This window comes from Homo sapiens, chromosome 10 (genome assembly GCF_000001405.40).
Source record: "Homo sapiens chromosome 10, GRCh38.p14 Primary Assembly".
NCBI lineage: Eukaryota > Metazoa > Chordata > Mammalia > Primates > Hominidae > Homo > Homo sapiens.
In genome coordinates, this window is record NC_000010.11 from 17,951,208 (window position 1) to 17,968,146 (window position 16,939).

The 16,939-nt window shown below is 41.2% G+C and overlaps 1 protein-coding gene across 4 annotated transcripts in view; it reads left to right on the forward strand.

The window, feature by feature from the left end:
- The first annotated feature begins 710 nt into the window (after positions 1–710).
- Positions 711–16,939, forward strand: part of SLC39A12 (solute carrier family 39 member 12) — a 91,368-nt gene continuing 75,139 nt past the window's right edge. For 3 of the 4 annotated variants that reach the window (NM_001145195.2, NM_001282733.2, NM_152725.4), the window contains exons 1-4: positions 711–818; positions 1,984–2,330; positions 10,374–10,655; positions 14,276–14,483. In NM_001145195.2, coding sequence (NP_001138667.1) covers positions 2,070–2,330; positions 10,374–10,655; positions 14,276–14,483 — 751 coding nt within the window. In that variant the 5' untranslated portion in view covers positions 711–818; positions 1,984–2,069. The remainder of the gene's footprint in view (positions 819–1,983; positions 2,331–10,373; positions 10,656–14,275; positions 14,484–16,939) is intronic. The other variant, NM_001282734.2, reaches the window with a different exon arrangement.

Here is a 16,939-nt window from a genome sequence, read left to right on the forward strand (position 1 = left end):
AGCTGACTTAAACCCCTATACTGTGGGCATGCATTCTGCCCACTCTGAAATCTTAGGATTTAACTTCTCTTGCTTCCTAGAAAATGAACCACTTTGTTCCTTTAGTCATTTATTCACTAATAATTTGTTGAGAGGTTTTGTTTTGAGGAGCATGAAGGATCTGATGTAAGAACTACCACCGGTGCTGGTGATCACAATATATGCAGCTGATTAAAGTTCCTCATTTATGCTACCTACATCCCTGGTAAGAATTTCATTCCTTCAACCAATACTTTTCATTTGAAAGCATCTCATTACGAAAGACTTCAATCTTTTAGGCTTCTGCATCTTGCAAAACAAATATGGTTCCAAAGAGCCTATCTTTTCAACAAATCTTTGGTTTGAGCCTGGATGAAACAGTTATTACAGAATCAACTGGAGAGGAAAAAATCTTCATCTAACACTGAAGTCTTTCTATTCTGCGAGGTGAAATCCTTTGACCTAGATTCTGTCCCTTGAAAGGCAAGTGACAGTAGGTGAGCCTAAGAAAATTGGTTAATTCTTGATCTAAAAAGTTAAATTCATGAACCACACTGATTTGATTACCTTGAAAATCTACCAGACAGAAAGTTCTCCCTTTTATCCACCTTCATTGTTACCTTCAGAGCAGCTCTCTCCATAGCAACTGAAAACTTTTCTGGGCTGAAATAATCCTCTCTAGCTCCCAGTGCACAGTCAAAGAATTTTAAAAACAGGGAACTTTGTAACTGTGAAATACTCTCCAGGATTTAAAAGGCTGTGGAGCTCCAGATAAAGAATCGTTTATCTTTCTTCTGAAGGTAAGCACTGGGGTTAGAAATGCTTGCATCATCCTCTGTCACTTTTAAATTGCTAACATAACAACCTTAAAGTGTTGTTGTTGTTTTTAACTCATAAAAGTAATCCCAGTACCTTTGTTACTAGCCCACAGTCATTTACCAGCTCATCTCTGGGCCAGGATCGGACATGAGATGCTGTTAACATTTTACATGCCTTAAGCCATCAACAGAAAGATAATTTTTTTTTCCAGGAAGTTGATTGGCTCTAAAGTCATCCCCCACTCCTTTAGTCACCACTGAGTGAGTGTGTGTGTGTGTGTGTGTCATGTTCTTGAGGTCTCGAAATTCTGTTTTTCTAAGATGCTTCCTGCTCTAGAATCTTGATTCTTAGTAAACTAAAAAAAAGACCTGTGTTTTCTGAACATTACTATTTTCTTCTAGTGCTTTTCCTTGTCTAAAACTCTTTTTTTTTCTTTTTTCTTTTTTCTTTTTTTTTTTTTTGAGATGGAGTCTTGTTCTGTCGCCCAGGCTGGAGTGCAGTGGCACGATCTTGGCTCACTGCAACCCCCGCCTCCCGGGTTCAAGCAATTCTTCTGCCTCAGCCTCCCATGTAACTGGGACTACAGGCACGTGCCACCATACCTGGCTAATTTTTGTATTTTCAGTAGAGACGGGGGTGTCACCATATTGGCCAGGCTGGTCTCAAACTCCTGACCTCGTGATCTGCCTGCTTCAGCCTCCCAAAGTGCTGGGATTACTGGTGTGAGCTACCGCGCCTGGCCTAAAACTTTTAAACTCAACATGATGTTGGTCATTTAGTAGAATTTATTTTCTCTTTTTCATGAGGACCATGAATCACTTGGAGTTCTTTATAATGGGATAAACATAAGGTGTTTCCCAACCTGGGTCCTATAACTTGTACCACCTGTTGGTAAATGGAGAAACTTACGTGACGCTATGTTTAGTTTAGGGAGAGAGAATCTAGCAAGCTTTTTGGCTGCTGTGCAGTTTGAAAGTCTACAGCCATGGTGCTTTCCTGCCATTTGGGGTTAGAAATTACCTACAGACCCCCGCTGTGTAGAAACAGCTTGTCATTGCAAATCAGCTTAGCCACCCAATTAATGAATCCTTTCAAACATGTTGCAGGCACAATAATTGAAGGCTTTATTTTTCCCCTTTACCACAGAAATTCCTTTGGTTACAAGTTTACCCCATAAACGGCAACACACTCACCTCCATCCAAGACAGACTCAAGGTGGAGGAAGCGTGGAAATGTGCTTCCGGACAAAGCTCTCAGTATCCTGGGTGCCATTGTTTCTTCTACTCAGCCGTGTTTTTTCTACTGAGACAGACAAACCCTCAGCCCAGGATAGCAGAAGCCGTGGGAGTTCAGGCCAACCGGCAGACCTGCTACAGGTTCTCTCTGCTGGTGACCACCCACCCCACAACCACTCAAGAAGCCTCATCAAAACATTGTTGGAGAAAACTGGGTGCCCACGGAGGAGAAACGGAATGCAAGGAGATTGCAATCTGGTTAGTGAAATAGAATGGGGTCAGGTATCAGGGCATGTCCAAAAGAAAGCAATGGATTCTATAGGGATTTATTTCAGTAAAGCAAAATCACAGGCAAATCTTCCAATATGCAATTGAGCAATGCATTCTGGTAAAATAATTTCCATATTTGGGATACAGCAAATCAGCATTCTATGTATAGCACCTAGGGACATTTTTGTTGTTGAAAGGATGATGTTTATGTAAGGCTTTCTAGAACCCTTCTGCATATTTAGAGGCATTTATTTGTGAGCGCGAACTTTTAGTCCTCTTTTCTGATTGACTAATCTTTTCTTAAAGCCTTCAGTGCACTTGCACGTGACTAGTTTTAGTTGCTATTTGTTTGCTGGAGCATAATGCGATCTGATATTTGCCCAACATTGGGTTTTTGAGTACTTTTTCCTGGCATGGTATTTTCTAATATTATGCATGGCGGGTAGTTAATGATTGGATAATCATCTTAACGATGAGGAATCTGAGCTGGGGAGACAGATGCTGCAGGTGGAGCTGAAGTCGCACCCATGGCTCCTGAGGCCTGAGTCACAGCCTGATCTTAGCCTACAAAGCGAATCTCAACCCTGATTGGAATCAGCTGCATAGGTTTCCCAGCATACCCATGTTTAGGTGTCATCCTCTAGAGACTGAGATTTTACTTGCCTGGGATAGAACTTTTAAAAGTCTCTCCAGGTTATTATTTATTTTATTTTATTTATTGTGAGACAGAGTCTCGCCCTGTTGCCCAGGCTGGAGTGCAATGGCATAATCTTGGTTCACTGCAACCTCCACCTCGTGGGTGCAAGTGATTCTCCTGCCTCAGCCTCCCAAGTAGCTGGGATTACAGGCACCCACCACCACGGCCGGCTAATTTTTTTGTATCTTTAGTAGAGATGGGGTTTCACCATGTTGGCCAGGCTGGTCTCAAACTCCTGACCTCGTGATCTGCCTGCCGCCACCTCCCAAAGTGCTGGGATTACAGGTGTGAGCCACGGCGCCCGGCCTCCAGGTCACTTTAATATGACGTCAGTGATGTCTAAGAATTTATTCATTAGGGAGGGTGGGGTAGGATGGAAGGAGGTGAGAACTCATGTGTTTAAATGACTACAAAAGAAAAAATAAAACCTACTCCACCATCCCATTCCTGACCCACGAGATTTTTTAGGACGAACCCATAAATACATAAATGAAAGCATACATAAATAAGTAAAACAAAAGCTAACAACCGTCTCCAAAATACATTTTGGCAGACTTTCTCAATCATGCAGAGGCGAGGGAGGGAGGGGAGGGGAACATTTTCTGACCAAGTGTTTTGTTTTTTCATAACAGAAGAGTTCTTGCTCATAGAGAATTTTTCTCTGCTTTGTGTGAGCAATAAATAATTCAATAATTATTAAAATACCCAATGGTTCCCAGAGGAAATGTGTTATAATAGGCAACTCATCTGTGATGACATTAATATATATAGATGGCAACACAAGATGTCCCACTGGAAATAACCAGAAGTCATCTCTTATTCATGTCCTCTGAGGATTCGCTTCAGGGGAATGTTCTCCTTTAATGACGTGAAGTGCCTTATTAAGGCTGGTTGAATAGTAGTTTTGCCAGGGGGGAAGGTAAATATGCAAAATTGTTCTCCATTTTCAGGGCTGGGGGAAGGATTGTTTAGCACTTACTGTTTTCTGTGACAGTATCAGGAGTTTAGCCAATTTGGTCCCCATTTGAATCAGTTCCATTCCTAGGACTTGAAACACCATCTTAAATAGCTTCACCCTCCTTCTCTGTGAAAGAAAGGCAGGTGAAGCAGAAGTGAGTCTCAGCTTTACCTACTCAGAAGGCTTCAGTTCACCCCAATCACCCATCAGGAAGGAGCTTAGGAAATGTCTCCCATCATTCATGAAAAGAGGGAGGAAACAGAGTCCTCTGAATTTCACAAACACGCGGGTTCTGGCGCGAACCACAGAGCTTCAGCTTGTGGCCGAGTCTGTTCTGTCATCTGAGGGACTTTGTCTGCTGACAGGCAGGGTTCATGCTACAAATTCTATCGTAAAAAGAGAGGTTAAGGGGGTTTCTTCATATCCCTAAATGTCTGAAAAAAGAGGGAAGTAGGTATCTTGAATTTGTTGGGAGTAAAAATGCTTCCAATTTTACGTCTGTATAAAAAGTGAATTTTTTAAAAAGCCAATGTGAAGTATCTGAGAGCATTGCACATTTAAAATAAATTCAGTCAAGCTGCAGTCTTTGAAAATGAATAGTTCTGGGCTGATCCTGGCTTTTTCTTTCTTTAATGAGAAGGGGTAGAATATAGTTTTAATGAACATCGTGAGAGATTAAATAACTCCAAAACAATACATTCTACTTCAATAATTATGAGAACCATAACCCTACACATGTTTCTGAAAGGAAAAGGGCCCTTTTCTGGCACCTTCTAGTGTTGAGACATGTGGAGCCTCAGCTTCCTCACCCTGAAGGCTGGGATAATGAGCCCCTCCTCAGGGAGGTCTGTGAGGACCACATGGACAAACACATGTTCCTCAGGCGCCAGATGTCTGTGAGGGTCAAATGGATATATATGTGCCCCTGAGGGAGATATCTGTGAAAATCACACGGACATGTGTGCTCCCCGGGGAGATCTCTGCAAGGATCACATGGACACATATGCCCTCAGGGATCAAATCTCTGAGAATCATGTGGACATAGATGTATTATGTCCCAGGAAGATCTCTGTGGATCTCATGGACATGTGCTCCTCAGGGAGATCTCTGTGGGGATCCCATGGACATACATGTTCTTAGGAATCAGATCTCTGAGGATCTCATGGACATACATGTACTTCTTAGGAATCAGATCTCTGAGGATCTCATGGATATACATGTTCTCCTTAGGAATCAGATCTCTGAGGATCTCATGGACATACATGTTCTCCTTAGGAATCAGATCTCTCAGGATCTCATGGACACATATGCAGAAAGTCAGATATAGGAGCTCAAGTTCCTTCTGTTCCCTGTGCCTCACAGCAATGTCTGATTCCTCCTTTTCCAGGGACACTAGAGCAGCGCCATTCCTCAGAATCTCCCACCCACCTGTGTCCCAGGCTCCCCTCCACTGTCCTTGATTCTGAGGATTTTAAACGAAGTTCTCCAGGCAATTCTTAGACACATTCAAAGCAGAGAACCACTGCTTTAAGGGTCTCCATTTAATTCACACCTGGCCCTAGCCCCTGACATAACTGTCATGGAATAAAGTGTGGAAAACACCCAGCTTTGTCTTATTATCTAACAATTTCATCTTAACTCTTCTCAGTTAAAAACTTCTTGTCAGTCAGAAGACCCACTAAATCTAGTACAGACCCTAAAGAGCCAGTACCTGCCATCGGCAACATCCTTCCAGCTCTTTGTCAGGAAAAAAACACATACACGTTCTCTCTTATATTTACAATCAATTGTTAGCCACCCCCCACCTCCGGAAAAGAAAAAAACACCTTATAGAAACCTGAGAACTTAAAAGAGACTGTCTTCTTTTAAGTTCTCAAGTTTCTATAATATAAAATTTCCCATTGTTTAAAATCAAATGTTAAACATCTTTCAGTCTAAAACCCCTAAAGTTTATCCTGGAGGCCTGACAGCTGTCTTACTGATGTAGGAGAAGACAGCTACCAAGTTGTTTTTTGTCAGCTGAGGCTCTCACCTGGCATAGATCATAAGCAAAGCTGAATTTCAAGGCTGGGTGAGACCATGTGATGTGGCTCCAGGATGTGGTGGACAATTACTACCAAGTGTCCGAGTAGCCTGTTTAGCTTGAAAGGGGAGCCTCTCCTTGCATTTTAATCAGTCTTTTCCCAAAGTTTATTTCCTTATAAAGTCATTAAAACTAATTCCCAGAATTTATGAGATTCCCCCCGCCCCAAACCTTTTTCCCCCACCTGACAAGATTAAAAGGAAAATCAATGGATTATTCCTGAATGAGTCCATTCTTCTTAAACAAAGAATTGCTTCACCAGAGGCAGCAGCCTTGGACAGATCTTGATGCCTGTGGGGTGGCAGTATTTGCGACATTTTGCTAAATATCCTCTCCCAAACACAACTGAGCCAACTTCTAAAAACATTAACAACAAAACAAATCTAGTGGCGTCGAACTGAAAATTCCAGCTCTGTCCTCATCCAACAGCCCCAGTAGAGCTTTTTGTCATATCTATGTCCAGGGGAAGAATTCTTATTTTATGTTAGCTTTTCTGAGGCTTCCACCTGTATTCTTTCCTCAAGCCACAGCCTTCTGTATTAAAATAAATTCTTTACGATTCAAATATTATAAAAGGGAGGAAGGTTTCCAGCCCGTGGTCATTTGATTCACAATTAAGCTTTGATTTAGCAGGCCTCAAAAAATCAAAGCAAATGTGATGCAACACGTGTTCATTCAAGGTTACCAAAATCTCTGTTCCGACAAAAGAAGATGCTTCTACAGCTGTTTCAAGCTTTCCAAAGCCAGAAACCAATTGTACCTTCCATATTGTATGCCTTTTATACACAGTTGTGGAATGCCTACCCACACGATTATAGTGCGGACCCTGCTCTCTGCTGTTCCGTGCCTTGCATTCCAATTCCAACCCTGGAAAGATACATGGCAAAGACACTGAGGAAGAATGATGCATGGACAGGAGTCTCCGCATCTCAGATGGGTTGAAATATGGTCACATGTTCTGCCATGTGCTCATACACCAAGCCCTGCCCTGGTCTCATGGCCCCATGAGCGTCCTACTCCTTGCATCATAGACATTCTTCTTCCTACCTACCCAGCCCCATCAAACAACCTGAGTAGCACTTGAAAGTATAACATAAACTCATTCAACGCTCTCGTTGTACCATGTCCTTGTTCTGATTGATGTTAGACTTGGACCAATCTCTTAGCCACCTAACTGACCTCTACTCCCATCAAATAGGAGGGAGAGAAAAATTACCGGTCAAAGTGGTTGCCTAACAAGTACATCAGTGGGTCCACAGCCTGTGTTCTCCATGGCACAAAAGGAAGGAATAAAAGAATGGGTCCTGTTCTTCGAAGAGCAGGAATTGTGACTAACAGTGCTCTCCACCATCAGCTGTGTAGCTTTGGGCAAGTTTCTTATCCGCTTTAGTCTTGGTTTTCACACATTCTATGAGTAAACTTTTCTCATGAAGAAAGGTGTAATTCATGTGTTCTTTGCAGTATCCTTGCATACCGTACACAAATGTATCCATTAATTCATTGTGCATTAAATAATTGAGTAATTGATCTTCTAGTTGCTTTATATTATAAAAATCAAATATTTAGAAATATTTGGTGGATTATTACATAGGCTGGAGACATTTTGTTTTTCACACTTAAAATAATAATATAGGGTTCTTATTAAAAAATTCATTACTTTATGCATTTTTCAAAACCAATTAGATTATGCACCAAGGAATAACTGAATGCAAAAGATACTCTGCACATTGCTGGGCACATGGCTACCAACAAATTGTAGCTAATAGTACCAATAGTTTAGTTTCAGGAGGCTATTTTGTACAAAGAACCTCTTTTATTTCCATTTTTTTATTTACACTTTTTATAAAAGTGTAAGTTTTTCATTACACTTTTATTTCAATGGATTCGCTTTTTGGGTCTTGGTGTCAGCCTTGCCATCAGCTACCAAGGTGTGGACTTTTCTTCTGGGCTACTTAGGAAACAGAAAAGGGATGCTGAGGTTTTACAGGTGGAGCCTAATATCCACATTGAGAGTTGGTCTTAGTGGAACCCCTGGGTCTCCTCTGTTTGAGTACTTGACCCCCTGCAGTTGGGTTCAGGAGAGATTAAAGTCTGTGTGGTTTTATGAAGAATGTGATTATGCTTTGATTTGGAGATGGATGACATTTGTTTCTTCCTGACTCAGATGATTACATAGCAGATGTTACACAGTGGGTTGTACAGCAGACCTTGAATTAGAACCCCCAAAACTTCCACTTCAAAGAAGACTAGATTAAAAGATATTGTAGTACAATATCCCCACCATGGGACAAATCTGTCTGGGAGTCACGACAGGCGTTTCTCAATGCTTTCACTCTGTGGCTATGTCGTGGGGCTGCTTCTCAGATCCTGTGAGAATTCTCAGGAGCTCCCCAACTGTCTCTGCAGAAAGGCAGCTTCCCTCTTGCTGAGAAAGCTTCTGGTCCACAATTCCTGTGTCTTTTTCTCACTGTCCCACAACATTTATCCGAATCCCTTATGTCAAGTAAACTTCTCAGATTGCAGGAGCTGGGCATGTGCTTGTGGCTTGTGAAACAAATAAGGCAGCACAGTGGAGGGGAGGAAAGACTTTTCCTCTAACATCTTAAATTCTGTAGCTGGGGCTTGTGAACGAAATGGACAAAAGATGGATTAACAGGAGAAATAGCACACACATTTGATGTTAATATTTTTATGTGGAATAGGGGCATCATAGAAAAAGTGAAAACTCCAAAGAAGTGGTTAGACCCAGGGGTTTATATACCATTTTAACAAAGAGTAATAAATTGTGGGGATGTGACAAGAGTAAGAAAAAAAGTGAATTTGGACTAGAGATGGTAAATTGTGGGAAAGTGACTAGGAAATATGTATGGGAAACCAAAAATTTTTTTTAACATTATACCAATGGAGGATTATTTTAGTAAAGTTCGTTTGTATAGGTTCATCTCAGCATTAATTCCCCATCTCCAGTGATAAGAATGTTCTCCTCTTCCTGATACAGCAAGGATACCTTTCTAATGGGAAACTTATGCCCTGCTTTTAGATAGTAAGGCGAAAGGCAGAGAATCCTTCCTGTACCTGCTGTTTGTCAGTTGCCTTCAGCTCAAAATAATCAATATGCTACAGTGGCATATTTTGGGGCAGTATGTTCTGATTCCCTTCAACAAAATCATTTTTGGCAATTTCCCTAAATAGGATAGAAGAGGGGCAGATGGAAGTCATTTGTAAAATTTTTATACCTCTTAAGTGCCAGGTATTGTGCTATATGCTAAGGATAGAACTACGCAAAAAGCAGACGAAATCTGCTGTTAGTGGACCACAGGTTCTCATAGAGAAGAGAGAGAATAAACAAGTAAACAAAGCAATTTTACAATACGAGTGCTATGAAGAAAAATTTTTAAATGGTGTATTCCAGAATTGTGCTGTCCAGCACAGTAACCACTAGCCCGCTTGTAACTGTTGGGCACTTGATTCGTGGCTCATCCAAATTGAGATGTGCTGGTAAGCATAAAATGCACGCCAGTTTTCAAAGACTTTGTTCAAGAAGAAAAATATAAAATATCTTAATTTTTAAAAATTTTGATTACATGGTAAAATAATTTAATCTTGGATACATAAGGTTAAAATATTACAAAAGTTACTTTTAGCTGTTTTTACTTTTTAAAATCTTGCTGCTAAAGAACTTCAAATGACATATGTGGCTCATATTTGCAGTGTTCCTTGTATTTCTATCAGATAGTTCTGTACTAGGGAACGCAGGTTGGGAATCTTTAGGAAGGTGTTGTGAGAGGGTGACAATTTAGGCTGAAACCTGAAAAATGAGGGGAACAAGAAGACCTGGAAGATTGTGGGAAAGAATTTGGTGAAATTGACATAAAATCACAGGGGCAGAAGTTGAGTGAGATGCTGGACCAAGGCTAAGAGAAGGAAGGAGGGTAGAGTAGACAGGAGCTAGACCAAAAAGAAGATTGCAAGGAATTCGGATTTTATTCTAAATGCAAATGGGCATCACTTTAAAAGCCAAAGAATAATCTGTTTTACACAAGGCAACAGATCAACAACTTGTGGCCGATCTAGTTGGAGACAGGAATTATTCTTAGAGGAAAAAAGGGGTTCCCTAGACAGGCATCATTGTTATGCGGGAGTCCAACTCTCTGAATCTGGCTATTGGTCCTGCCTGCTTTTCCTTTCTGTTTATAAAATGATAAGCAATGAAGACCCTGGTGGTCATTAGTGTTCTGGAACTATTTTGCTAAGCTTTGTTTCTTTTGTTGTTGTTATTGTTTTCTTCCACAGTGCTTTGAACCAGATGCACTATTACTAATAGCTGGAGGAAATTTTGAAGATCAGCTTAGAGAAGAAGTGGTCCAGAGAGTTTCTCTTCTCCTTCTCTATTACATTATTCATCAGGAAGAGATCTGTTCTTCAAAGCTCAACATGAGTAATAAAGAGTATAAATTTTACCTACACAGCCTACTGAGCCTCAGGCAGGATGAAGATTCCTCTTTCCTTTCACAGAATGAGACAGAAGATATCTTGGCTTTCACCAGGCAGTACTTTGACACTTCTCAAAGCCAGGTAAGAAGGCAAAATTGCTAACTGGCTCTGCTGCTAAGATACAGTTCTAGAGCCTTATTGTTTGTTCCTTATTTATTTCTAAGACATTCAAGGACTTCTAAGGGAGGTAAGTATTTGTGGGTTTTGGTTATGAGATGTTAAATGACATAATTTAAAATTCCGAGTCCAAAAGAGGAAATGTAATGACTAATTGGAAGAGCAGTTTTCGCCAGAAGTTCGGTGGGTGGACAGGCAGTCCAGGTGACAGGTCAGCTGTCTTCTCCTGGGTCCCTCTGAGCACTCAAATCAGTATGACCCAAGGCTTTTTGACCAATTTCCAAGGACTGAGCTGTAGTGGTGGAGAGCAATGTTTCTATTTGCCTTGCCTTCTGGCTGCGAAAGGAGAAGGCAGAGACATTTTGAAAGTGATAAATTATCATTAGTTATTTCACTGAAGAAGCAGCTTGCAAAAAGCATTACTCATGGTTGCCAGCCCTAGATGATATCCCTTTGTGGTTTTGAATTGTGCTGCCTGTGTAGAGGATCCATTCAAATGCCTCTCCTCTCTCCCAGCTCCCACCTGGTCTCTGTTGCCTTCATTACTATTCTAGCAAAACTGGCCTTTCAGTTAGGTTTTTGCTTTCTGGTTTGCAGCAGGAAATCTCAGCAGATAAAGTTCTCTGAACATAAGGTTTCTTTAAGCCACGGGTTTTTTTTTTTTTAAAGAATTAATTGAGAAGCCATTACTACATTTTGAAGAGTATGGGGAAATCATTTTTTTTTGAATTATTCATAAACATGTATAGACAAATTTAGTTCCTGCTCTCAATTCTGGCATTCTGAAGCTTAACGACCAGCAAACATATCCTCTAATTTGCTGTAAATATGTTTAATTTCTTTTATTGGCAGAGCAAATGGAGAAGCTGTTTGCTAAGGACTTTGTGACTTTCACATCTGTAGCTCTAATCCTGTTAATTTCAAAATGCGACCATATTTTTATTCCTATTTTCATTTTAGGAAAAGGGATTCCTAGGCCCAGTGCAGTGGCTCATACCTATAATCCCAACACTTTGGGAGGCTGAGGCAAGAGGATCACTTGAGGCCAGGAGTTTGGGATCAGCCTAGGCAACATAGCAAGACCTTGTCTCTACGAAAATAGAATTTAAAAAATTAGCTGGATGTGGTGGCATGAGCTGGTAGTCCCAGCTACTCAGGAGGCTAAGGTGGGAGGATGGCTTGTGCCCAGGAGTTTGAGGTTACAGTGAACTATGACTGTGTCACTATACTCTACCCTGGGCAACAGAAAGAGACCCTATCTCTAAAAGAAGAAAAGCAGGAAAAAAAAAAGAAAAGAAAAAGGGGTTCCTTTACAGAACTGTTTTCTACCTAAACCAGGAGGCGTGCCTACATATAATTTCTTCAGTACAACATCTGTGTAATCCAAGTTTGATTCAAACTGGCTGCTAACATTTTAATCCTACCCATTACTGCCTCATGGGTAACTCAGCACTTAAAAGCACTTAAAAGGTGATGTGGTGTGTATTTCCAGGTTTCTGGTTATCCCACACATACTGCAAATACCCAGGCTTCTGAGTATTTCTGAGATAAAGCAGCCCCAGAACAGAATAAATCAGTATTATATCTAGAACTCCTTTTTCCAGCTAGTTTCGGTCATTAAGAGTTCAACACCTGCTGAGTCATAACCCTTTGCTACACCTCAGGCCAGTGAACACCTGGATGACACCACTGTCTCTAGTTCCTGGGAAGGGTCCATGAGCTCATTCAACTGGACTAGGATTCTCTAGGAAGTCAATCAGTCCAGACTTTGCAGGAGGCTTTTGGCACTTCACCACATCAGCTGTTCTTTCTGACTAGATGGCATGAGGTCAGATGAGGTTCTGGCTCACCAGGCCCATCATTACTTGAATTTCCAGGTCTTGGTCTGCACGGGACCCAGCTTCCACAGATCAAGTCACTAACGGCTGCTCCAAGTGGGCCTCAACAAGATCCCCAAGAGAATCAACTTGATACCCTAATCCAGGCAAGCTCCCTAATGGCTCAGAAAGCAACATCTCTCCCTTCCTTCAATCTGTTTTGTCCAAACCTCTCTGTGTTTTATCTTCCTGACTCAATCTCTCAATGTTCCCACCTCTTGAATTCTCTCCACTGTTGGCTGATTCCATGGTAAATGAACAGGGATCTCTCCCTAGTGTTCCCGTAGCCCTGCCTACTGCATGGAGGCTGGGCGTTCCTGACCCCACGCAAAGGACTTCAGGGATGGGAACAATGGTTGGAATTCTCCTTTATCCTCTATGGTGTTTCGAGACCCTTATTGTTTCACAGCCTGCACGAAACACTCATGCTTCCGTGAAGTTCAAACTCTGTTATTTCAACTTGTTCTTTTCACCCATGGAACTTCTGGCTACTTCTCCAAATTTATCAAAATTTTGGTAACTGATTCTTAGCCTTCCACTCTGCTCTGGACCATGGTTGTAAATATGTTCCTGCCAAGCTCTTCAATTACAGACTTTAAAAAAATAAGTTCAATGGGCACTTTTTCTCCTTGTCCTAAGCCATTAGAATGCAACCTTGACACGATAACCTTCCCTGGATCTCTCTTTTGATGAATTTATTTTCTCCTTCACTTCATATGAAATGGGCTTAGTACAGTGCCTGGCACATTGTAGGCACTCAAATGTCTGAATGGGAATATGAATGGGATATAAAGCAAAATTAGAGCTTTTCACATGCTTATAATTTAATTGAGGAAAATTGATATACATATTTGAAAAAGGTCCTGTGTCCTCTGGGAGTTCAAAGAACATGGACAGTGTACCAGATTTGACATGCAATGAGTACACACTGAGCTTGGGACCAGAGGCAGATGAGAAGTAGAGGGGCCCTGTGATGACGCAAGGCAGCAGAGCCTGTGTGAAGTCAGGGTAGGGAATGTCAGCTTGAAAATCATTCTCCTGCAGGTTGCACTTAAAGCGGGGAGAGAAACAACCCACCAGTTTTAAGGATGTTAAACAATAAGAGCAGGAGTTCCCCTTGGAGAAAACACATCTTTAAGAGGATAGTCAGGCTGGGTGTGGTGGCTTATGCCTGTAATCCCGGCACTTTGGGAGGCCAAGGCAGGTGGAACACCTGAGGTCAGGAGTTCGAGACCAGCCTGGTCAACATGGTGAAACCCCATCTCTACTAAAAATACAAAAATTAGCCAGGCGTGGTGGCAGGCACCTGTAATCCCAGCTACTCAGGAGGCTGAGGCAGGAGAATCGCTTGAACCCGGGAGGTGGAGGTTGCAGTGAGTCAAAATCGTGCCACTTTACTCCAGCCTGGGCAGCAAGAGCTAAACTCGGTCTAAAAAAAAGAAAAAAAAAAGGATAGGGAGAAAAGCTGGATAAATAAGGACCAGTGAGATGAGGGTTAGAAAATTCAGTGCCATGGTAGATAAACACATAATTTTCAAATAGAGTTGTATCTGAGACAGGAGAAAGATGATAGTCATATTCCTCAAATGATTCAATTTTCTTTTAGAAAAACAATTCCTTATCCCTTTAGGGGGAAATTTCAGAGATGTTAGAATCAAAATAACTTCAGATGTTACAATTTTCTCTTTATTTTGTATCTGATTTCAGTGTATGGAAACCAAAACGCTGCAGAAAAAATCTGGAATAGTGAGCAGTGAAGGTGCTAATGAAAGTACGCTTCCTCAGTTGGCAGCCATGATCATTACTTTGTCCCTCCAGGGTGTTTGTCTGGGACAAGGAAACTTGCCTTCCCCAGACTACTTTACAGAATATATTTTCAGTTCCTTGAATCGTACGAATACCCTCCGCCTATCAGGTAAGGATGTTTTCACGAATTTAACTTCCAAGTCACACCTGCTAAATAAACTATGCCAAAAACAAAGGCCAAAGCTCTTGATGACTGAATTCGTTCAGGTATGTTTTAAATACCATTTTTTATAGAGTCATAAAGTCAGACAGCTTATGTGGCCTTTCAAGGCAAGCGTGCTATGAAAGCTATGCGGTGATGAGGCAAAAACATGGACTTGGCCTATTTCTAAGTGATTGGAATTGTGGATGTAAAGGGAGGAGGCGATTTTATGATCTGCCATAAATACTAACTGAATAGTTTCTTATTTGGGACATAATGCTGGGCCAGGCCTAACAAACTGCTGTGTAGAATGAAAGAATAGTATTCTAAATTGTGCAAGACATTTGGCAGCAGTTTCCTTGCAATCATGAAAGCCATTTAATTTCAAATAGAAGTAATGTGAAATAGCCATCCTTGCTGCATTCCTGACTACCTTACCTGCTTTTTGGGGATCCAGGATGAAATAGGATGTCAGAACTGGAATTAGAATGTTTGTTTTGCACATTTCTTTGTACTTGAGAAGACATTAAAAATGAAATGACTAATTCTTAACATACTCACCAAAATGCCCCTGAGATGGATTTTTGTTGTTGTTGTTGTTTTTAGAGACAGGGTCTCATTCTGTTGCCCAGACTCAAGTGCAGTGGTGGGACCGTAATTCACTGTAACCTCCAACTCTTGAGCCCAAGCAAGCCTCCCACTCCAGCCTCCTGAGTAGCTGAAACTACAGCTGTGTGTCACCATGCCCAGCTAATTTTCTTATTTTTTGTAGAGATAGGGGTCTCACTATGTTGCCCAGGCTGGTCTCTGATTCCTGGCCTCAAGTGATCGCCTGCCTTGGCCTCCTAAAGTGCTGGGACTATAGGAGTGTGCTACTGTGCCCAGTTGGATTTTATTTTTTTAAAGCACCTCATTATCACGAGTAAAAAATTGATAACGATTCCTTAATATCATAAAAAATTCAGGCTGGGTGCGGTGGCTCACACCTGTAATCCCAGCACTTTGGGAGGCTGAGGCGGGTGGATCACTTGAGGTCAGGAGTTCGAGACCAGCCTGGCCAACATAGTGAAACCTACGTCTCTACTAAAAATACAAAAAAAATTAGCCAGGCGTGGTGGCGTGTGCCTGTAGTCCCAGCTACTCCGGAGGCTGAGGCAGGAGAATTGCTTGAACCCAGGAGGCAGAGGTTGCGGTATGTCGAGATTGCGCCACTGCACTCCACCTTTCAAGACAGAGCGAGATTCCATCTCAAAAAAAAAAAATTCAGTTAGTGTTCATGTTTTCATAATTTAAAAAAATTATTTTTATTGAATCAGGATCAAAATAAAGTCCATAAAATGCAAATTGTTGGTTTGTCCAAGTTTCTTTTATACGTGTCACACTTCTTCCATCTTTTCTATTTTGTTGCAAGTTTTTTTTTGTTGAAAAACAAAGGGGGTTGGTTTTCATATGGAGTTTGCTGATTGCAGTCCTAGTCATCTATCACGCATTTCTATGTACTGTGTTTCTTGTGTAGGGGCTGTTATATGTAGAGGCTTGACAAGGTTGCTTAGCTGTTTTATGTTAGTACCTTCCATTAGGAAGCATGTAACACCTAGTCATCTCTTTTTCAGAAGTTAAAAGCTATTGATGATAGTTGCCTAGATTGATTAATTATTTAGGGCTTATAAAATGGTGATCTTCTAACACTCATTTCTTCCTTACTAGCGTAATAATCCTATAATAGAAAAACTTCCCCTCGTCACTACTTCATCTTATTGAGGTTCTTAAGGGAAGGTAAAAATAAATTCTTGACACTTTGACAGTTTTTAAAATAATAACAGTGGCCATGCATCCTTCAAAACAGAACAATTTGCTTTTAAAAATATTTATTTCCCAGGCCGGGCGCGGTGGCTCACGCCTGTAATCCCAGCACTTTGGGAGGCCAAGGTGGGTGGATCATGAGGTCAGGAGATCAAGACCATCCTGGCTAACACGGTGAAACCCAGTCTCTACTAAAAAATACAAAAAAAAATAAGCCAGGCGTGATGGCGGGCGCCTGTAGTCCCAGCTACTCGGGAGGCTGAGGCAGGAGAATGGTGTGAACCCAGGAGGCGGAGCTGGCAGTGAGCTGAGTTCCCGCCACTGTACTCCAGCCTGGGCGACAGAGCGAGACTCCGCCTCAAAAAAAAAAAAATATATATATATATATATATTTATTTATTTATTTCCCTCACAGAGATTGTAGGCATTTGTTGTTATGTTTATACCTATGCCTTTAACATAGGTATAAACTATGGCTTTCTTAAATGAGGTCCTCTTTCATCTATCTTCTAGCTGATCTTTGTTTGTGTGTGTGTATATACACACATATGTATACATGTGTGTTTCTAATTTTTATAGGTTAATTTTATAACCTGCTTCATGATTATTTTTGTATGATT